This window comes from Homo sapiens, chromosome 16 (genome assembly GCF_000001405.40).
Source record: "Homo sapiens chromosome 16, GRCh38.p14 Primary Assembly".
NCBI lineage: Eukaryota > Metazoa > Chordata > Mammalia > Primates > Hominidae > Homo > Homo sapiens.
This window is the reverse complement of record NC_000016.10, coordinates 7,330,869-7,355,104: the sequence shown is the minus strand read 5'-3', so window position 1 is coordinate 7,355,104 and position 24,236 is coordinate 7,330,869. Positions and strand designations below refer to the sequence as shown.

At 42.7% G+C, this 24,236-nt stretch overlaps 1 protein-coding gene across 47 annotated transcripts in view; it reads right to left on the bottom strand.

The window, feature by feature from the left end:
• Positions 1 to 24,236, bottom strand: part of RBFOX1 (RNA binding fox-1 homolog 1) — a 2,473,620-nt gene that overhangs the window by 358,236 nt on the left and 2,091,148 nt on the right. For 9 of the 47 annotated variants that reach the window (NM_001415904.1, NM_001415896.1, NM_145893.3 and 6 more), the window contains exon 1: positions 22,017 to 22,260. The exons of the other annotated variants lie outside the window; for them this stretch is intronic. In NM_001415904.1, the coding sequence (NP_001402833.1) occupies positions 22,017 to 22,103 (87 nt within the window). In that variant the 5' untranslated portion in view covers positions 22,104 to 22,260. Of the gene's footprint in view, positions 1 to 22,016; positions 22,261 to 24,236 lie in introns of those variants that run through there. 47 annotated transcript variants of the gene reach the window in all.

Here is a 24,236-nt window from a genome sequence, read left to right as displayed (position 1 = left end):
AGCGGTAGCTACCTGTTAGAGTTTTGGGAGGATTAACTAAGACCTCATGCGTTAAATGCTTAGCACACTGTCTGGTACAGGGCAAGTACAAACGTTAACTATTAATTTTTATTATTATAATCATTATTTGTCATGTTTCAGCATTCGAATTTGCTTAAATGAGGGAAAGCAGAGCAAAGAGACCACAAGATAGCAATACAATTAATTTAATCTTTTAGCATAGAGCTGTCCAGCAGAACTTTTAGCAATAAAATGAATGTCCTATATCATACTGTCTAGTACAACCAACACAAACCACATGTAGCTCCTAGGCACTGAAAATGTCAATGGCACAGTTTTGAGGGCTACTGAATTTTAATTAAATTTAAATAGAGACACGTGACTAGTGGCCGTCATATCGCACAGTATGTTTCCAGAGAGTGCTATCTTCCCCAGCTAAAATATCCTAATTCTTTCCTCATAAACACAGCTAACAAAAATTGGGCACGGTAATAGTGCTTAAATTGAATGAAATCCTAAGCATTTCACATTGGTGGCCTTTGAAAAGCTGAGTTTAGAAGGTTTTAGGAAGTAGTTTTTTTTCCAAGCTCATTCAGTTTTTCTGGCTGCTTGAAGGACAGTCTCAGCTGGTGCTAGGCCGTGTTTAACAACACCTCTTTAATACTTTCCAACCTCTGTTTTATTTCCTGAGGGAAAACAGGCCTTGAATACAGCAAACACCTTCAACAAACACAGGTAATAGAAAGAATTTGATGACATTGCTTTGTTTTCAACATATTTTTTGAAATAATAATTCATATTCCACAAAGTTCACACTTTAAAATATACAATTCGGGCCAAGCATGGTGGCTCACACCTGTAATCGCAGCAGTGTGGGAGGCCGAGGTGGGCAGATCACCTGACGTCAGGAGTTTGAGACCAGTCTGACCAATGTGATGAAACCCTTTCTCTACTAAAACTACAAAAATTAGCTGGGCGTGGTGGCAGATCCTGTAATCCCAGATACTCAGGAGGCTGAGGCAGGAGAATCGCTTGAACCTGGGAGGTAGAGGTTGCAGCGAGCCCAGATCATGCCACTGCACTCCAGCCTGAGTGACAGAGCAAGAGTCTGTCTCCAAAAAAATAAAATAAAATAAAATATACAATTCTGTGTTATTTAACATATTCACAAAACTGTACAACTGTGTATGAAAGTGGTGATAGTTGTACAATTCTAGAACATTCCAGATAATTCCAGAACATTTTCATCACCTCAAAAAGAAAATCCATATCCATAAAAGGATCGCTTCCCATACTCTCTCCCCTCAGCCCTTAGCAATCATTAATCTACTTTAAGCTACTATAGGTTTGCTTATGCTGAACATTTCATATAAATCGAATCATACAATATGTAGTCCTTTGTATCTGACTTCACTCACTTAGTACAACATTCTCAAGGTTCATCCACACTACAGCATGTAAGACATCATTTCATTTTATACCTGAACATATCCCATTGTATGCTATATCATCTCGTGTTTATCCATTTCTTAGTTGATGAACATTTAGCCTGTTTCCATGCTTTGGTTACTATGAATAATGCTATTATAAACACTGGTACACACGTTTTTGTGTACACATATGTTTTTAATTATCTTGAATATATACCTAGGAGCAGAATTGCTGGGTCATAATAACTGAGTAATTTTTTTAAGAAAAATACTCAACTATTTTTCTAAGTAGCTGCGGAATTTTACATTCCTGCCAGCAATGTATGTGCATTCCAATTTCTCCGCATCTTTGCTGACACTTCTTGCTGTCTATCTTTTTTATTATAGCCATTCTAGCTAGGGTCATCAATGCATTTGTAATAGGTACCATTTATTTATGGCTAGTGATGGTGAATGTCCAGTTAAATTAGAGACGAAAAGTATGGTTTTTGTGAATCAATTTAGGCTACAAAAATTGAATCCATTCAAAGAAAATATTAGCTATACAGTAGTAGTGGTGCTAAAAACTTTAGACAACTGGTCAAAGGTATGGCTTTAGGGTTCCACTATGTAACTCATGCACAAACCTGTAACCTGAAGCCATATGGAAAAGTGGTATGGGCTGGGTGCAGTGGCTCATACTTGCAGTCTCAGCACTTTGGGAGGCCAAGCCAAGCAGATCACTGAAGCCTAGCAGTTCGATACCAGCGTAGGCAACATGGTGAAATTTCATCTCTACAAAAAATACAAAAATTAGCTGGTCATGGTGGCATGCTCCTGTAGTCCCAGCTACTTGGGAGGTTGAGGTGGGAGGATCACCTGAACCCAAGAGGTCGAAGCTGCAGTGAGCCATGATCGCACCACTGCACTCCAGCTTTGGTGACAGAGTGAGACCCTGTCTCAAAATAATAATAATAATAATTTGCTCATTAATACACAGACATTGAGGGGCAGATCCAGGACAAGAGTGCATCCTTCAGAATCCCTGCACCAGGATTCTTTCTAGAACTACATGGGAAATATAGCGAGCTTGTTTCTGAAGGCAAGGCCAGGATGACTCTTCCTGGAGAATGGCTGCAAAGGGCCCTAGAACAAAAGGACTGACCAAACAGCAGTGATGGGCAGCCCGGAGTAAGCGTTTAGTGGTGACAGATTCTTACCCACCCCACGTCTTCAGATGACATTCACCTGAGTAAGGCAATAGCTACGCATTCCCACAACAGCACACTACTCTGTCCAAGATGGGGAAATTCAACTTCTGAGAACAGGATATATAGCTTCAGTTCTCTCCGACTTGGTCATCATCAGGCCCAGAGTGGAAGGACAGGGCCAGTTGTTTCTGCCCTGTTTAAAGACACGTGCAAAGATTTAGGTTACACTGCACAGCTGTATCCAGTTCACCTCTTGGGAAAGGCTGAAAAATGTTTTCCACCTCAAAGCTGCAAATCTGCCATGCTGCAAAGCCATGGCTGTATCTGGAGCAGAGATCCTTTAGTATGTTTCTGCCGTGGGGTGCTTTGACAATCAAGTGGAAATGATACACCCCGCAATTGCAAGACCATATGCCTACAGCGTGACATATTATTTAAGGGGAAACTCTCAGCCACCCCAAGTCAAGAACTGAGCCCACGAATCACTCTGCAGGAGCCCCTCCTTCCTTTTCAGCTCCAAAAAATGGCATCAAAGTCCCTGGTGAGGGTCACTGTGGGCTTTTCCTGGGGTTGGGGTTGGAAACTCCTTGGCAGCAGATCAGAAAGACAGCTGCTGACAGCTGAAAATTTCCTGCCTGGGCCTGAAGATTGAGAGGCAGAATGTGTGTTTCCATGGCACTCCCAGAAACAGGTGGCTCCTAAAATCTGGAAAAGCACATTCCTTGTACCACAGTAAGTCAGCTGCTCCCTGTGGACATGGGTATTTAGGGCATGGGAGAGTAAAGTACCAGGTGTCTCTAAGGCAAACCCAGGAAGCGAAAAAAAGAGAACAAGTGAGCTAATGGGTGAAAAATTTCAAGACAATAAAGGATGTGAGCTCAAGAGCAGAGTATCATGATCCACCGCACCATCATTAACTGTTTCTTCCCTCTTACATTATTTTCTTCATAGCACTCACTTCAATCTAAAATTAATCAGTTTATATATACATTATGGTAGTTATTCTTTGTTTTGTCTCCTTCCCCTACAAGAACATAAATTCCACTAAAAAAAGAATCAAAGCTGACTTCATTGCGTTCCTAATGTTTGCCATCGTGCCTTGCACGTAGTGGTGATTAATACATGTCTAAAGAATTATCAAAGGAATGAACTAACCAGTCAATGCGTAATAACCTTTCTACTACCCTTTGACATAGAAAAGTTTCCCTCTATTTTAGGTACGAATGAACTGAGGCTCAGAGAGGTAAAAGAACCTGTTCAAGATCACAGCTAACAGTGAGTGAGGCTGGCTCTGGAACCTCGGTCCATCTGAATCCAAACTCCCAAGTTGTCCCCTGTGGTCATAACTTGCAAAAGTGAGAGATCCAGTCCCAAGGGGCCTTCTCTACTTCTGCTAAAATAAAAGGAAAACCAGCCATCCCGAAGACAGAACTGTCCTGTGATGGAAAACCTAGTCCATGGGCACATGGCACACCATATGTTGCTTACAGCTTTGATAGAGCCAGACTTAATAAAGCACTCAAGACTGATCTTCCATGCTCAGGCAGGTTTGCATGTAACCCCTTTGGATGCATTCTTGGGTCATTAACAATTAAACACACATACTACAGTCCCCTGAAGCCACACAAAATACCAGACCTTCAGGCACAGACACAGATACATTTCTATACTCCCTGGTCCTCTACCTCTCATTCCATTAACACTGTGATTTTTCTGTTACCCCACATCCCTGAAACGGGCCCTCTTTTTAGGGCAGAATTCTCCGGTCAATGAAGATCAAAGAAATGGCAGCATGAAATATGGATATTCACTAGCCAATCGTGGATAACATGGTACTGGTCGTCTTCACCAGTACCATGCATACTAGCTGTCCTGTCTGTTTTGCATCTTGTCCCACTAAAGATTATTTGTCCATCCTCCTCCCACTTTCCAGAGGAATCTTTTAACATGATACAATCAGATCATAGTGTTCTCCTACTTGAAATTCTGCAGGGGTTTGCCATTTCCCCTAGATCAAAATCTAAACTGCCTGCAATGCCCTACAAGGTGGAATGGGACCTGGCTGCTGATTGCACACCTGACTTTGTGTTTTTCATCCTCCCTCTTTACCCACTGTGTCACAGCCATACTGACCATCCGGTCATTTCTCAAACATACCCATTTCATTCCATCTCAGGACTTTTGCTTTTTTCCTCCCCTTAGACCTCTTTCCCATACCCCACGACTGTACACAGCTGGCACCTACTTGTCAATCAGATCTGAGCTCTAATTCCTGTTTCAACTATCTAAAATAACCCTTTCAGTCACTACCATGTAACCATTTTTTTTTTAAATTTTTTAGATGGAATTTGGCTCTGTCGCCCAAGCTGGAGTACAGTGGCCTGATCTCGGCTCACTGCAACCTCTGCCTCCCAAGTTCAAGTGATTCTCCCACCTCAGCCACCCAAGGAACTGAAACTACAGGCATGCGCCATCATGCCAGCTAATTTTTGTATGTTTCAGTAGAAATGAGGTTTCACCATGTTGCCCAGGCTGGTCTCGAACTCCTGACCTCAAGTGATCCACCCACCTCGGCCTCCCAAAGTGTTGGGATTACAAGCATGAGCCACCGTGCCTGGCCCATAACCTATTTTATTTCCTTCCTAGCAGCTAACAGCATCTGATATTCTCCTGGTTATTTTCTGCTTTATTTTTTCCTGTTAATAGGATATAAGTGGTCTTACTCACACCTGGAACTGTATTGTCTAGCACACACTGAATGTTGAATAAATATTTACTAAATCGGTGAACACATATGGAAAGCAAGCCACAGCCATCCGTCTTTCTGAACCCAACCCTCCTCAGCCTCTCAAGCGGATGTGGTATGTCGCCATCCTCATTTTGATTCTGAGGGTCAGCTATCAAAACGGAAAGGGAGGAGTATTAACTGGTAAGCTACTGATTGGAAAAAAAAAAGTCTTTTAAATTTTCTGTGCACATTCTGACAAGGACTGGCTGGCAGACCTCATCCTAATGCCATTGGCAAGCCCGATCCATGACTTCTTTCTCCAATCTACAAAGGAAAAATGTTATACTTTGAGGACTTAGGGGAATTAGGAGGAGGATTTAGTTTTTAAGAGAGAAAGCGAAGTCACTTAAATTGAAAACCGATCTTGCGCCTTAGACATGCGTTTGGTTTGAGAGAAGGAGTGATGAGAGCTGACAAGGCAAGTCTGGTTGGTCTCCCAGTCTCCACTTGTGATAGAAGGCTGCCAGGAAGATATCTTGATCTCTTGAGCCGCCTGATTTTTAACCCAAGTTTTAGTCCTAAAATGAGCATGAACTTCAGTGGGTCTCTAGGAGATGGTTTTGTGTTCTGAGAACCATAGGAGCAACCACACCTCCATCGTGGTCATGAAATTTTTATTTTCTCCAAAACTAGCACATTTTTCAATGTCCCCATTTCAAGAAATTTACAAGAAAATCTGAAAGCAGAAGCCTCCTACTCACCCGGTTGACTGGAGCCGATCAATCTCTGCCTCTCTCTTCATTCTTTTTTTCTTTGAGGTGGAGTCTCGCTGTGTCACCCAGGCTGGAGTGCAGTGGCGTAATCTTGGCTCACTGAAACCTCCGCCTCCTGGGTTCAAGGGATTCTCCTGCCTGAGCCTCCCAAGGGGCTGGGATTACAAGCACGTGCCACCACCCCTGGCTAATTTTGGCATTTTTAGTAGAGATGAAGTTTCATCATGTTGGCCAGGGTGGTCTTGAACTCCTGACCTCAGGTGATCTGCCATCCTCAGCCTCCCAAAGTGCTGGGATTCTAGGCGTGAGCCACGGCAACCGGCCTTTTGTGTAATTCTGTAATCTATAGGATTGTTTTGCTACTTTCTCTTCTTTGTCCCTATCTTCTTTTCCCAACTGACTAAAGTAATGTCATTTCTTTGGTGATCTATTTACTTAGGATATCATATACGACCTTGCCATGGGCTGAAGGAGAGGGATAAGAGCAAAGGGGCATGTGGAAAGGACACGGAATATGTGTTTGTTTAAGACATCACCTTAGTCTTAAAAACCTAACAGAAAATATTCATGAGGTAAAAAAAAAAAATTCATTAATTTTATTTCAAAAGGTGTTCCTATTAAAAACCCAGCTGCTTGCAAGTTTTACAAATCTTTGTGAATACGATGAGAGTAGATAAGAATTATTTAGGGAAGAAAATATATGTACCACAAAGAAATCCAGGATACATAAAGAGTGGTTTGTAGTAGGCATTTTTGGGTAGCGGATTGTGGTTTATGTATCTATGTGGTATATGCATATATCTCTGTATGTTTGTTTGTGCTTTTTGTTTCTGAAAACTTAGGTTTAGCCCACATTAATTTTATGGTAAGAAAAGTAAGCAACAATGTTTTAAAACAGTTTTGCAAAGTGAATTTTCTGTTAAACAGAAGTCAAAGGAGGCAACGAGCTTAAATCGAAAACCAAATCAATTGACTGCTCGTTAAGACTGGCACCAAGGTGGGCCTTGCTTTCTACAAACAGACAGCTCTGCATGGAAGGCACTAGCATGAATGAGTGTCAGCCACAGGATAGGGTGCACTGAAGGCTATCAATACACCCTGCAAGACGCCTGTCTCGGAATGGCTAACAGCTCACAACCAGCTACATCCTACTCCTGCTTTCCCAGGACTACTCAGCAATACTTTGAACGGGCTGCAAATACATGGGGGTCTCGGGCATAGTTCACTGATATAAAGATTGAGACATACGATAGGTTGGGTCCATCAGATCCTAGCTGAGAAAGCAAAAGTTGAATGAAGACTTGCAGAGACTGATAGTCTCTGTAGCTGAGTCACAGTAGTGTGACAGCCTAGAGTGGGGTTTTTCAATCTCGGCGTGACTGATAATTCTGGATAATGCTCGATAATTCCAGGTGTCCACTTGATATCGTTTGGCTGTGTCCTCACCCAAGTCTCATCTTGAATTGTATCTCCCACGATTCCCACGTGTCATGACAGGAACCTGGTGGGAAATGACTGAATTTGGGGGGCGGGTCTTTCCTGTGCTGTTCTCCTGATAATGAACAAGTCTCATGAAACCTGATGATTTTAAAAACAAGAGTTTCCCTGCACGAGCTCTCTTTGCCTGCTGTCATCCATGTGAAACATGTCTTTTACCTTCCAACATGATTGTGAGGGCTCCCCAGCCACCTGGAACTGTAAGCCCAATAAGCCTCTCTCATTTGCAAATTGCCCAGTCTCCGGTATGTCTTTATCAGCAGCATGAAAACAGACTAATGCACCTATGCATTGTAGGATGATAGCAGCAACCCCCATCCACTTACGACAACCAAAAAATGTGTCCAGATATTGCTAAATGTCCTTACAAGCCAAAAATCACCCCTGATTGAGAACCACTTGCCTGCAAAATATGTCCATAAATTCTGCCTGCTGAGATCACTAGGCCTGTCTTACCTCTTGTGCTTTCCTTGGCTTGACTTTTTTCTTTCTCTTTTGAGTCCAAGAGTTTCTGTGCATTCAATTGTTCATGCACTACACCTCAAAACACAGTAAACATATAAATGCTGCCCCTCTCGTTTTTTTTGAAGCTAGACAGGATTGAGTTCTGTTCCTTCAGCCAAAGGGATCTTAACAAAAACACACATTCAAGAATCATCTTTGGTTTCTTGAGATTCAGAATGGTGGAGATCATCAACCCACATGATCGTATGGGTCTCATGAATCTTATGGGTCTTCAGTCAACCCACAGGAAGCCCAACAGTTATTGATCAGAGATAAGAGGTAAGTTGACATCAACTTGTCTCTGATAACAGGGCAGATCTGAACACAAAGGCTTGAACGAAGCAATGCCCGTGGGCCACATGGGACACACACCATGATGTGTCAGCAACGAGACTTCTATAGAGTAAACCAGGATGGCAGAGGAGCATTCTACACAGGAGGGCAGTGGCTTGGTAACATCTGTGCTTGGGAGTTTAGAACCAATGCTAACATGGGAGGAAGGTGTGAAGCCAGAAAGCAGAGACATTATCAAACGCGTGTCGTGTCCATTCCCAGGAAGGAACTGTACAAAATGCTCCTTAATGAAGCTCCTACTTGCTAGAACCAAATACTAAAGAAAATACACTGCCCTCTTGGGTAGAATGCTCCTCTGCCATCGTGGTTTACTCTATAGACGTCTCGTTGCTGACACATCATGGTGTGTGTGTCCCATGTGGCCCAGGGGCATTGCTTGGAACCAAACCAAATGTCCATCAATGACAGACTGGATTAAGAAAATGTCGCACATATACACCATGGAATACTATGCATCCATAAAAAAGGATGAGTTCATGTCCTTTGTAGGGACACGGATGAAGCTAGAAACCATCATTCTCAGCAAACTATCGCAAGGACAAAAAACCAAACACCGCATGTTCTCACTCACAGGTGGGAATTGAACAATGAGAACACTTGGACACAGGAAGGGGAACATCACACACCGGGGCCTGTTGTGGGGTTGGAGGAGCTGGGAGGGATAGCATTAGGAGATATACCTAATGTAAATGACGAGTTAATGGGTGCAGCACACCAACATGGCACATGTATATGTATGTAACAAACCTGCACGTTGTGCACATGTACCCTAGAACTTAAAGTATAATAAAAATAAAAACAAAAAATTAAAATTAAAAAAAGAAAAAGAAAATACACATGCAGACGGCGTCTCTAACCCAAATCCCACAACTGTTTGGACAGATAAGAATCCCATATGCTCTGCATTATCCTCAGTAATGAAAGGCTTTTTATCCATCCCCAGACGGCTCCATCACCGGCAGCAAGTGGGAGCTCTGGTCCCTTACAATGTAGACAGAGAGGGGACTCGGCGGCTGATGACTGGCGTTCTGTATGATGGGTGAACACATCCAACATCTGCTGGGCGCCCACACAAATCTTAGGCCCTCTGGCAAGCCGTGCCAAGTCCCTCTGCTAAGTCACAGTGGGAACTGTCTGCCAAAACACCAGGTGTGAAACAAAACCCAGCTCATTAGAATCCTTAAGCCCCCACCAAAATTCATGGAAAATGCTACAGGCAAATACAGGGCTGCCCGAACAGCCTTATTAAGATGGTCATCGGACGGTCCATGTCAATTTCACATGTTCTGTCAAAACCTCCCCGAGAGCAGGCCCCTCAGTGTTTACACTGCTCGCCAAAACAAATGCAGAGCTGTAGAGGGAGAAATAACACACCACCACAGTAACAATAGAAGACATCGCTTGCAAGCTGTCCACAGCCCCGGGAGTAACTGACATGTTTGACAGAGAATGTGTGTTGGTAACGTTGCTTGATTTGTGTTTAAACGGAAAACAGAAAGTGTATTTCCAGGTTTCAACACTGATAACCAAAAATAAAGGTCTTGAAAATAGAGCCACAAGACCCAGTCCCAGCAGTGCCCTTCCTCAGCCTTTGTCACCACACAACCTCCAGGTTTGATCTTCTCCACGAGGAGCCAGGCTTCCATGGGGAACAAGGCCTCCTGACAGCCCGCTGTGAGACAGTGGGGGAAAAACTGATCAGAAATGACAGCGGCACAATATCGCATTAGCCTTCTGCTCAGAGTCGGTTGTACGGGCAAGAGACATGGCCATTTCCCCATGGAGGATGGGGAGACGACAGACACCAAAGCTTTGCAGAATTGTGTGGTCTGCGGGAGGACGGGCTCTGCAGCCAGACACCTGGCTGGTCTGCCCTTCCCCAGTCCTAAGAATGAGGGCAAATTGTTCCACTTTGCTGAGCCTCAGTTTCCTTTTAAAATAAGTCTGGCCAGAATGCTTCAAAGTGGTAGAAATTATTTAGGAAAAAATCCCCAATGGAGTAACTTGTCATAGTAGCAAGAGTAGAAATAATAATTATTATTATCATTTATATTACATATAATCATTACTATGTAACTATTATACAGTATTACACAATGATATGTGTCATCTAATCATTATATATAATTATCCTATAACTATATGGCATTATGTAGTTATATATTTATATATTTATAACTATGTGTTACATAAAATACATATTATTGCATATATTATTGAAATATATATTGCATTATATCTTATGAATAATGCATAATACAAATAATATAAAATATAAAATAATCATGTAACAATTATTATTTCTATCAGTTTTTTTTAGCCCTGACTATATTGGATTTACTATTTTAAGTACTTAGGGAGTATTAATTGATTTGATCCTCAGAAATGACTTTGGTATTATCCCTGTCCTACAGAAGAGTACAGCGAAGCTTGAATTTAGGCACTTTTAATATGGGCCATTTTACCGAAGAGAAAACTGCAGTTCAGAGTAGCTTAGGAGTTAAAAAAAAAAAAAAAAAAAAAAAAAGTAAAGCTGAGATTCTAACCCAGGCAGTCTGGCTCAAGGGCTCATACTCTTAGCCAGTAGAAGGTATTGGCTTCCCTATATAGAAAACACTCAAGATTGAGGCTATTATTTAATTGCATTGGTGTTGGTTGTGGTGGTATTGCTTTACGCTTGGAAATAAACTTGTAAATACATTTATTGAGGACTTTCTATGTGCCAGGTGCTATATTGTGGACTTTACATGATTTGGTTCCTTTAACAACCACTCAAAGAGGGTGACTACTGCCCAGAAGGGAAAAACTGTGCCAAGGTCACACAGGTAGCAAATGGCATCCAAGGTCCCAGAGGTGGAGGCCTCAATGGTTGCAGCAGATGAACCAGGCAGTCTGCTCTAGAGCTCACACCCTACTCCATACCACCTCCTGTTTGCCTGTTTTTTCCTCCCTAAGATATATTACTTCAATTAGGTACGACAAGTGAAACCCCTCACACACAGCCTCATATATAGTAAATGCCTAAAAACAGCAGCTGCTGTTGTTATTATAACAAAATCTGAAAAGTCCCAGTTGGCATTTGCTTCCAAGAATATGACGGAAGTATGAATTTATGCTGCTGTGTGCTCAGAGGGCAGCTCCTCTAGCCCTTTTAAACCTCAACAAAGCCCTTGTACTGTTGGTCAATACCAGCTCCCAAATCCCACTGCTGGTCAGATTCTCATCTCTCTGGTCCCGCCCCCTGTCACTCTGATGCAGATGTTCTGGAGTCCCATGCTCCTCCCTTGCCTGGACACTGATCCATAGCAGCTTTGGGGGAACATCTGGATGCAGCGGGACTTCGAAGCGACTCAGAGCTACAATTTCCCCCCGAAAGGCTTCCCATAAGCTGCCCAGTGACGGCTGGCACTCACACATCCTCCTTGCCACCGGGCACTGACAGATGGGAGCTATTCTTATTATTTAACATTTATTAAGCGCCCACGGTGTGCCAGAGCTGCATGGAACAGGGGTGTGGGTGGTCCTAAAGAGTCTGTCCCCAGAAGGCTATGGCCACATGGAACGGAGGGGACAGGCCTCTCTTCCCCCTACAAAGTCCACCCTCCCCGTCCTGCAACCCAGCTCCAGTTCCAGTCCCAGCATGTTCTGGACAAAGATTTGGGCAAGGATTCAACATTATTGAAACTGATCAACTCTCCTTCACGTGTTTCTTGTAATTAACTTCCGACTCTACTGAGAATGACATGGCCCCCTGATGCAACCTCTGAGGACAGAGGCTGGGACTTAGTCATTCCAACTATGCAGGCTATTGGCTTAGGGAGTGGGAAGAGGATGGTGGCTTTTATACCAGCCATGTGGAAAGAGGATGGTGGTTTCACACCACCCAGAGCCATGAGCCAAGATGTCAAACTCCATGGTGGCATCTCTCCCTCTCCTTCGCCACCTCCCCAGTTGTATCTCTGCACTGTCCACGCAGGCCAAACACATGTGTCCTTGCTCACCAGGAATCTCCACCAAGAATGGGAGCAGAGAAGTGTAAACATTCTCCTTTCCCAACCTAGAGCATCTCGATTTATCAAAATGAACATTCAATAACTCCAGAAATCATGAACAAACCAAGACAACACTGCTGGCAATCAGTTGTGGCGTTGGTACAATGAGCTGATTGTCAAATCGGATTGCTCCCTTCTGCAGTCGATGTGACCATCCCCGCAGACAGGTTGAAACCATGGGTGCTCAGAGAGCTGAAGCCCCGCATCACACAGGAGCCAGGATGCCAACTCAGATGCGTCTGAGTGGGAAGATCTGAGTTGGAAGCCCAGCCCTAGGCATCCTGTCTTGCTGCCCTAATGACACCATGACTACACTGCAAAGGCCTTGTGAGTAGAGTACACTTGGTATTACTCCCATTTTACAGATGAGGAAGTGGAGGTTCAGAGAGGTCAAGCAACTTACCAAGAGTAACACAGAGAGAGTAATGGCCAGACTCAGGTTTCCTTGTTGTAAATCCTGTTCTTTTCAAATTTAACTGTGCTGCCTCAGGAAATAAGAAGAAATAGGTCTTCAGAGAGCAGTTCCTGAGAACAATGTGGAATGAACAAGTGATCCCCCTCCTCACTGCAATTCTCCCCTCCTCCAGGAGCCAATACAGATTAAAGAGCAGAAGAGAAGGAATGGCCAAGCAACACCTTCTCCCACAGCAGTGGGTGTGTTGAACTCTATTACTTTAGTCTAAGTTGGATGCAAGGTGGGAAGGGGGCCGGGGGCAGGAGCTCCTGCTGTCATCTTCCCACCTCAAAAAGGAAGGAAGGAAGGAAGGAAGGAAGGAAGGAAGGAAGGAAGGAAGGAAGGAGGGAGGGAGGGAAGGAGGGAAGGAGGGAGGGAGGGAGGGAAGGAGGGAGGGAGGGAGGGAAGGAAGGAAGGAAGGAAGGAAGGTAGGACCATTGTTCTCTGAAATGTAGCAGGAACTCTGTCATTTGGAGTATCTCTCTGTAGGAAGCCATCTTCTTTGGACTGTGCATAAACCTGTCTTGAGTGTCAGACCACTGACAGCAATGAAGACGTCATACTGAGTCGGTCAGTGGGGTGGAGACTCAAGAGTTCTATCTTCAAACAGTTGTGCTTAACCTCTGACTCTACTGCGAATGGCATGGCCCCCCTACGCAACCTCTGAGGACGGAGACTGGGACTTGATCATCCCAATACCTCCAGAGCTTGCAAGACAACAGTCACGAAATCTATGATTGATAAATCATTATCTTAATAAATGAATGAGTTTCATGGAGCCTTTGCCTCCTAGTTTTACAAGCCTGAAAAGCTCAATCTAGACAGTGACCATTGCTGAAGATAATGGTCTCGGTTGCTCAGAGGAAAAGACCTTCAGAGTATTGAGTTCAATGTTTCTGGGCATCTCTTAGGGCTCAGCAGTGAATCAAGTGAACATGCTGGCTCCTTGCAAGCTGGTGGGATGTGTGTGTGAGAGGTCTATCTTTAGACGGGGGAAAAACATAAATAGGGGTGAGTATCTCCATCATAAATCACCCAGGAAAAGCACTTACCCAAAACAACCTTTAAAAGACAGGGAGGGGACTCTGCTCCACCATCAAAAGCTCACATTGCCGAACACCAAAGCAGCAGCAGAGAGTGTGAAATCCGTAGGTCTTCCAACCCTCCCTGCCCTGTGCCAACGTATTATAAAAAGCATAGTTGCTGATATAGCATGCCTTTAAAATGATCAAAATGACAGATGGCTGCTGCAGCAAGACACCCTTTTTATAGGACTGATATTAATCAGAAGAGATTGACAGTGTCCCTTTAATCTCTTAATTTAAAAAAGTGAATTTATATAAAACAGAATAGGACAAGTCACTAGCATCTTCGAGTGCTTTGGAATGATGGGAGGTCTACGTCATGACAAAGTTAATAACTGGAAGGCTCTGTTTGCTCTTTTTAATATATTTATTTATGCATCACTGATGTGAAGAGAAGTGGTGTGGCTGCATGGATCATGAATCTGAGAAACACAATCTTGCACTGATTATTGTGTTGTTGGATGTCCTGGTTGGACTGTCTTGACTTCCCTAGGTTGTGACTTACTAGTCTGTAAAAAGAGTTGGAATATCCCAAATACACGAGTGGAAGACATGACTGTAATTAGTGCAACGGAGAAGATACCAGGTAAAACAGCCATCCCTGCCTTTGGCAAATCTGATCATGAATGGAGAAGCCAAGTGAAGTGGAAGGCAATAAAACTACCTAGTAAATATGATCAATGGCAACAAGTGATCAGGATAATTAAGATCTGAAACCCACCACTTGCTCCCCAGGGGATGGTGTGTGCAAAGTTATGGGGGAGAAAGCACAGGTTTGAATGTCTGTGACAGCTTTAACTATAATTGTTGTTGATAACAAGAACCTAGATTTTGCTTATCCACCAACACATTTTGGTAAGAGGTCCCTGATCTGGCCTCCGTTCATAGTCTATGCAGCTTTCTTGGGGCTGACCCTGCCCTCTGGCTCTAAAGTGGGCAACCAGAGATTAGATGATTGATTTGGAGATGTGCATGGACTATAAGATCTACCAATGAGACTGCAATCTGGAATTCTTGCTGGAATAGTTGGGAAGAGAATTTCTAAAAGGAGATGAGATGTAAGCTTGGAGTTGCCAAGAACCATCTTTTCCACCACTTGGACATGGTGTGCTTGTGAGTGAGGATCAAGTAGAGATAACCACTGTGGAGAGGTGGAGAGTGACAGCCCTTGGCTTGTCAAAATTCCTGAATTCAATAGTGCCTGAAGCTGGAGCTAGATGCTTTTTTTCCCCCTTTAACCAATAGGACTTAGAATTTTCTTCATCGCAGACAAAAGAATTCTTAACAAATATCTTTCTGGCCAGGCACAGTGGCTTGCACCTGTAATCCCAGCATTTTGGGAGGCTGAAGTGGGCGGATCACCTGAGGTCAGGAGTTCAAGACCAGCCCAGCCAACATGGTGAAACCCTGTCTTTACTAAAAATACAAAAATAAGCTGGTTGTGGTGGTGCATGCCCACGGTCCCAGATACTCAGGAGGCTGAAGCAGGAGAATCACTTGAACTTGGCAGGTGGAGGTGCAGTGAGCTGAGATCATGCCACTGCACTACAGCCTGGGCTACAGAGCAAGATTCCGTCACAAAATAATAATAATACATAAATATCTTTCCTCTCTCCTTCTCTCTCCAGAATAATACAGAATAAACATACTTTATATGCTAGCTTTTCCCATGTGTTAGAATATCAACTTCCTGTTGGAAGAGATCTAGAGTGTGTTCTATTCTACCACATCACCTAGTCCTAGTTCACAGCCTGGCACACAGTAGGTGCTCAATAGATAATTGCTGAATAAACACATGATGAATCACACTGAAAACTCACAGTGACTTTGCAAGCTAGGCCTTCCTGCTTTTGTTTTGCAGCCTAGAAAACTGAGGCTTGGTGAGGTTAATTGACAAGCCTCAGGCCACAGGCTTAGTAAATGCCAGAGCCTATATATCAACCTGGACCTGTTTGACTCCAAATTCTCTCTGCCACCTCCCTGACTCTTTAATTTAGTCCGCTGTTGACATGGCCTCTTTGGCAGTACAGAAAAGTCCGCTTAGTGACTAAGATGGAGCAGCCTCAGAGTAAATGACGCCACCAGCATTTATATCAGGTGTGCATGCTGATGTCTTTCCCAATCAACAGACATTCCAAACATGGAGATAAAATCGCAGGGCAGCAATATCAAGACCTGAAATGCCAGCCACAGAGCCAAACAAGCTGTTGTTTTTCAAGTTCAACCAGAAACTTACCCAAATTACTTGTAAGTTCTTTATAGATTTCTTTATCTTTCTATAAGGATGGTTACTCTCTGTCCATTGTTAAGGCCGATGTTTCTATAATTTGCATTGTTACTACATATAGGTATGTAGATGTCTCATAAAATACATACGCTGGTTTCTGCTTCAAAATACAGTGTGTGTGTCTGAGACCAGGAGTTTGAGACCAGGCTGGCCAACATAATGAGACCTCATCTCTACAAAAGAATTTTTTTTAAAAAAGCTGAGCATAGTGGTACATGTCTGTAGTTCCAGCTACTCAGGAGGCTGAGGATTACTTGAGACCAGGAGTTCGAGGCTACAGTGAGCTATGATTGCACCACTGCACTCCAGTCTGAGTGACAGAGTGAGACCCTTTCTCTAAAAGAAATAAAAATAAAAACATGGAGTATAGGGTTTCTTTAAACCATTGCTATCCACGTCAGAGAGGCATACATTGGCATTTTTCTGCCACTGTCTAGCTATAGAAAGTTTAGGCTGGAAAAATCTCAGCCCTCTGAGAGCTTACCATCTCAGAGAGAAAAGAAGGCATAGAAACGGTAAATGATAATTGCCATGCTTAGGTGGGGGTGGGGAGAGCATTAGGGAAAACAGTTAATGCACCCTGGGCTAAATACATCGGTGATGGGTTAATAGGTGCAGCAAACAACCATGGCACTCCTTTACCTATGTAACAAACCTGCACACCCTGCACATGTACCCTGGAACTTACAAAAATAAAATAATACTTTAAAAGAGAAAGGAATGGTAAATGATGCACAAACCCAGAAAATTAAACATTCACCAGCCCTAGGCTGGGCATGGTGGCTCATGCCTGTAATCCCAGTACTCTGGGAGGCCAAGGCGGGCAGATCATGAGGTCAAGAGTTCAAGATGAGCCTAACCAACATGGTGAAACCCTGTCTCTACTAAAAATATAAAAATTAGCTGGGTGTGGTGGCACGTGCCTGTAATCCCAGTTACTTGGGAGGCTGAGGCAGGAGAATCGCTTGAACCTGGGAGGTGGAGGTTGCAATGAGCCGAGATTGCGCCCCTGCACTCCAGCCTGGGTGACAGAGTGAGACTCCATCTCAAAACAAGCAAACAAACAAACAAAAACAAACACAAAAAACATTCACCTGCGTGAGTCATGGATGGTATAGATGAAGCCCATTCTTTTGTGAGCTTGCAGAGACGCAGTGCTTAGGAGTTCCATTGTTGAGATTCCTCCCAGCTCCTTTTGACCTATGTTTTTTCACTCTTGAGATCTATGTTTAAACATCGTCACATCCTACAGTGGCAGTAAGTTGGAAAAGACGCCAAGGCTCTATCTCAGTATCACAAGCCAACTCCATGAATTCACCCAAGTTCTCTGCTCTACTAAACAAGTCGTATTATTATTTTTTGTCCTGTGAATGCCTACTAATGCTTCACAGCCCAACTCAAATACCAGTTCCCTTCCTTTGAAACCACCCTCTTCCCGACTCTAAGAGGCACTGGGTTACTTCCTTTCCTGTGTTTTCATAAGCCACCCTGCCTGAATACCTCAACCTAGAGGGTAGCTTGGTGGATAAAAGACCCTGGTTCAACAAATCCAGTCCAAATCCCAGCTATACCACTCGCATTCTTTGTGACCTTGGGCTACCTAGCTTTGTCTAAGTGTAGGTTTTAGGTTCTCCATAGGCAAAGGGGAATTAAAGGCATGACTGCAATTTCTTACCTAAGACCCGTTGGAGTCACCAGCATTTTGAAAATCAGATTTTGGGGGCTTTTTCAGAAAGTTATTTCAGTGGAAATGCTGATTATGTAAAGCCCTCAGCAGGGTCTAGGACAACACCCTGAAAATCAAACACATAAATATTCCTACAGCAAAATACATGAATATTTACATTAGCTGGGATAAAGAAAGTCTATAAATAGCTACACATCATTTCAGGTCAAGTTTCTGTTCCTAAATGAGCTTTGGTGCCCAACTTCCAAAAGAAATTGATTTTCAGAGCTTTTTGGAATTTACAATTACAGATATAGGAAGGTGGACAAATACTGCCCAATTGCATTACGTTTATTATAAAAATAAATTGAGATCCTAAATCTAAGTGTTTAGCACAGAGCCTGGCACATGACAATATTGTGTTCAACAATCATTACCTATCATTTCCTCCCTCTGACTTCATTATAGTCTTATAGTTGGGGTTTACCTACTAGTTCTTCCACTAGATTGTGAACCCACAGTTCAGTGGCTATGACTGTCACTTTTGTTATAGGTTGAGTATACAGTGAATGGATAACTGAAGGAACAAATGCATGATGAGGTGAATATGGCTCTATTTACACCATCAACCATCCAGGAAAATAATCTGCTGACTCATCATCTGTCAGACCTGGATGAAATGGGAACGATTTGTCCAATAGTGAAAGTGACTTGGCCATGTATGGCCCAAGGGCATATCTATGAGGTAGATACCTAGATTGAGGGGTGAGGGTCCACACTTGCAGCCCAGAGCCAACACATTAGACCCAAACACTAACCAAATAGCCTAACCAGTTACAAAGCTGTTGTTTTGGTTATGTCATTTGGCCATGGTCCATGGCTTGGCTAAGACCTCTGAGTAGCTTCTGGACTCGAGGCTGACTTGGGCAAGTGACTGAGGCTCCTGTGTTACCAGGTCAGACAATTCACTGATCATTCAAGGCATCACTAGAAATTCAGAAATAAGTAGTGTTAAGTAGTACATTGGTTCTTCTTATCCAAAGATATCAACATCGGGATCTCTATCAAGGGGGAAAGCAGCCAATATTTGTACAATGCACTTGGGAATACTACTCTTATCCTTTCCTCTCTGCTTTTTCTGCACATGAGACAGTCCAGACAGGTTCAGCTGAATTCTCCATAGTCATTCTGTCATTCTCTACCTGGCTGGAGGGAAAAACTCTCTATTTGGCTACACACAACAAGTGTAGACATAAAATAATGGGTTCAGGAGATCCAATATGATAAAGATTCTGATTTTCCTAAAGGAGGAAGGGTAGGGCAGATGATAACTATCAATTATTGCTTGGAATAAAAGATCCTGTATGAGTAACTTTCCTGAAGCTATCAGTAAATACCTCCATCCACTGCCTTTGCAGGATTAGGTGGATGCCGTCTTAAAGTCTGGCACACCAAATGACTGGTAAATCACTTGGTTTTTTTTTTTTTTTTTTTTTTTTTCTTTATCTGAGGCAACTAAAACAGGGCGATGCTGGTCTGAATTTTCAAAATGACTCTTGAAAATATGAAAAGGGAGCACTCTGCCACAAAATCTCTTGAGGTTGGAAAGACCTTGAAAAGTAATCTCCAACTATAATACAACAATCCTTCCAAGTGGACACTATGAACTCTGTTTCAACATCTCCAGTCACAGAGAAATTACTCCCAGTGATGGAGTACACATGGTTTATTTTGGCTCATTTTAACATCTTGCCAATGACATATTTAGGTGGTGATAGAACCTTAATTCCCTAGAGGAAATACTTTGCCTCCTGAGTGAGGAAGAAACCCATAAGGTCAAGAAACTAGTGAGCAAGTGGAGTCTGCAGCAATGCAGGACAGCTGGCAGCAGAAACATCGGCTCAGAGCTGAGCATCTGTGAGTGATACAGTTTTTTCTCCCTTTGCACTGCCCTTTCTCCCCTTGCAAATATTACTGCACTGGGGTGATTTTAGCTACTTGATGCCAAAGGGTAAATAACATGGGCTGTCTCAGCAAACCATAAGTAAAGCCAGTTTCTCTCTGTGTGTTAGCTTTCCAGTGCATTCCACAGCAGTGAGAAAGAAAGGAGATAACACATATCACAGCAGCTGGTCTAGAGGCTCCTCACTAAACTGCTCTCCTAACTTATGGGTAACTAGTTACCAGAGGTGTCGCTTGGAAAAACACAGTATGATCAGGCTAAGATTTACAAGTAAGACCACTTGTTCTTTCCAAAAATAACTGGCTATGTTTCTCAAATGCTCTGCAAAGGAGGAAGAAATAGGGCCTCCCCAATTTCTCAGCTGGCCCTTGCATCTTCTCATCTATCACTGGGGTAATACGTCCAGAGTGGCATTTCGTAATGACAGCAACATTCCAACAAATCGATAGTTATTTAATTCCCAACAAGCTCTGGAGTCCATTAAACCTGATTACATTCACCCATTTCAGTGGGTGCCGTTATTTTTCCTACACCGGCACTTAATCTATAACAGGAACTTATGAGAACTTTCAAAAGCAATTTCAGCATCAATCAGCATAGAGTGAAGGCCACGATTTGCCTGTAATTATTTATCAGATGGGTCGGCAGAGGGTCTGACAAAGCTCCAACAGCCGACCTTCACCCCACGTTTCCAGTAGCAGCAACAGGCCTGTTAACTTTCTAAGTTGCCACTGAGCCCTACTTCAGAAATGGCAACCTTATCATACCGGCCTGTGTATACCAGGGAAGACGCAACAAGTTCCACGCTGCAAAGGACCGTTCTCCAGATGACCCATTTGTTTATAACAGGTAATACAGAGAAAAGCTTCCAAACAGAGGAACGGCCATAAATCCAGAAAGAGAGAATGTTTTGTTGTGACTTGGAATCACCCCCAGATGACTCTAATCACCCAGGTTCGTACACTTAACAAAAGGTAACAGCAAAGTTCAGAAGAGGTAGGGGGAAAAGTGACCAGAATGGTTCCCAGAAATTGTAATTAATGAGCTAGGGTATCATATAGTTTTTAACTATGAGGGGCTGGAGGGGACAGAGGGAGGCACAGGAGTAAAGGTGAAAGGACGTACCTAAATATATTTTGTTTTCCTTTTCTGTAGAAAGGAGATACAGAATTTATTGCAAAGGGATGATTATACTCAAAAAACTAATTATAACAACAAAAAGCCACCTTGGATTTCTATGATCTGTGGGTTCTATCGCTAGTAGATGTTAGCTTTCAACGGAGAACTTCAGACATAAACGCGGAAGGCAATACCTGCTTGCAAAGAAAACCTTATGATGAGGGGGAAAAAAAAAGGTCCCCAATTGTTTATTGGTAGATTAATCCTCTCTGCACAGAATTAAAAGACTTCAAAGTAAAACCAGCACACATATCAACCCTCCACTTTCTTGCCATCATTAAGATGTACACATCTGGCAAGGGATTCCTAGAATAATCTCTGAGCTTCATAAATTACCCATCAATAGAGTGTTCCTTCTTGCCTCAGTGCCACCACTCAAATTCAGGTGGGGAGAGCCTTCTCTGAAAATAGACAATCCGTGTGGAGGCGTCCTATGAATTAATGCATATTTCATGCTCCTTTCATTTCCTGGGTTAAAGCTCTTAACTGAGTCACCTCATGATAAGTTACTTTGTCTCATGATCTGCTCTGGGAGACTGAGTCCCTCAGAAAGCTGAGAAGGAGAGCAAATCCTTTGCCCCGTGGTCAACCTCCTGAAGCTAAGACATGAATGTTAAATAGCAGTCAGATCAATACAAGCAAATATAGCTCAACTACACCATTTATTCAGCCATGAGAGATGTCGATAGCTAGATTAGGGTGATCCATCTTTTTGATTTCCTACTGTCTTCTCACTGACTACGCGAGGGCTTTTTCCTGTATTAAAAGTGTTTGCTTTCTCAACCATAAAAATTCCAATTATTACTCTGAGCACTCTGGAGTTAAGTTGCTGGCTGGCAGAGGCCTTGAATTACCTGAATCAGTCCAGGAAGGTAAGGAGCTGCCGGTACAATCATAGGCACGCCATAAGGATGCAGGAGAACTCCTTGAGACGCCAGCATGCTTTACGTAGAGTTATTATTCCCTCTGAAGCTCAACACATCAATGGAGAGTTAGGGGGAAATCTATAGACCCAACTTCTTCCGAACTACAAAGCTGGGAGCCAAATCCCTTCTGTCAGGAGCCAAGCACTCATCAACGCCGGGAGAGGAAAGAAAGAAAATCCGCATCAGCAACTCTTAATGTGAAAGTTTTCTTCCCAGACGACGAAGAGACACAGCAGCTGCAAAGTTGAAGCTACCAAAATGGAAGGTGCTATTTTGGGAACAGCTTGCCTAACATGACTAACCAAATACTCTTCATTAATTTAGTTCTCAGAGAGAGAGAGAGACAGAGAGAGAGACCAAGAGACCAAGTGACAGAGGGAACCAGGCTATGAGATATAAGCTCATCCTACTGAATTTGGCCAAAAGAGCAAGGGATGGGGTCTACATGGGATTTTTAGGGAAAAATAAACTGAGAAATGTAAATTAATGTGATTATCGCCTCCGAGTTAAAATTCAAATCCAGCAGGTTAATGTGGGCAACGTTTGGCACTGATAGAAAAAAAATAAGAAGATATTCAGTCTAGTTTTCCTCCCGCTCTCTCTCTGATTTCAAATTTAAAGTGGCAATTTGTAAATAAGATAAAACTACCAGCCAGCTTGTATTTGCACAATGTGTGCTACGCAGAGAGACAGAGTTAAATTATTTACACGTGTTATGTAATTTCATTCTCACAACAAGTCTCTGAAGTCAGTACTATTATCAGTCCCATATAACAAATGGGAAACAGGGCTGATACTAGTTAAATGGTTTGCTCATGGTCACATAGCTCGTACAAGGCAGTGCGAAGCTACAAACACATTCCAGAGCCCGATTCCTAACCACAACACTGTTTTCACTGCTGTATTTCAGTCTGTAATAACATTTTCTATGCCTTTTATTTTGTGTTTTTAACGACATTCTTTATTTTGAGCTTTCATCTGTGATATATTAATATGCAATACATTAACAAGAGATGTCTTCTTGTTCTCAGAGTTTCAAGGCATAGCTAACAAGCACCAAAACTATGGATAAAAAATACATTCAAGCACAGATTTGAAATCTTTCTGGTGTTTGAAAATACCCAAGCAATCATTTGGGATATGTTACATAGGAGCAGATAAATTCCTAGGGGATGACATGAATTGGAATTAATTCCAATTGAATTAATATATTAATTAATATAATTGGAATTATACTGACTTGGGTGTCAGTATAATCACTAGCTGTGTGATCTTGAACAAGTTACTTAGCCTCTCTGAACCCTGTTCACTCATTTGGAAAACTGAGATAATAATAGTCCCTACTTCAAAAGGCTGTGTTATCATTAAATGAAGTCCTAGAACCATAACATGATGTGTGCAGTACCGGCAGCTATTAGCCACTTTTATCATGTATTCCCTGTTTTCCTGATGATTGGTACAGACACATCTTTGGTTTCAGATTGAAGGCTTTGACCTGAGACTGAAGGCTCAGATAACAATCAAATTGTCAGTCTTCTAATCTTCTTATTAGAAAGACATGTGGGTGTGTGTAGTTCCACAATTTTGAAAGCAATAATATGAAGTTCTGATGAAGTGAATCCACTCAAATAATGCCCAAGTCCCAGGAATCACTGAAAATCACCTTCAAAATGAAACATTCACTGGCCACATTCCACTGCTCACTCTAAACAGGACACTTGATATAGATTTTGTTGAAACTGGGAGAGAGCTTCAAACACCGCCAAACATATCCAACTATTGGCGTTTTCTAAATCCAAATGTCAATTCCTCCACTTTCAGATAGCCAAGGTGTTTTTACACTACACTAATTTTAGTTGCTTGATTTAGCTGCATAATTGCATTTCTAGATAACGACGGCGGACAGGGTTTGGCAGAGAATTCAATTATTTAAGGCTGAATTTTGGCCATCTTGACAAGGTTTCTCTGTAATTGATTCTCATGCATCAAAGTGGCCACGTTGTACAATTCAAAAAGCTCCCATAACAGCTGCGCACTGACCCCTCTTACTCAACAGCCCGATACTGTTTCTAACTTTAGCTTTTGACGATGACTTTCAACACCACATTTCTGAGAAGTTACCGGGGAGGACAGAAGCATCACTGTGAG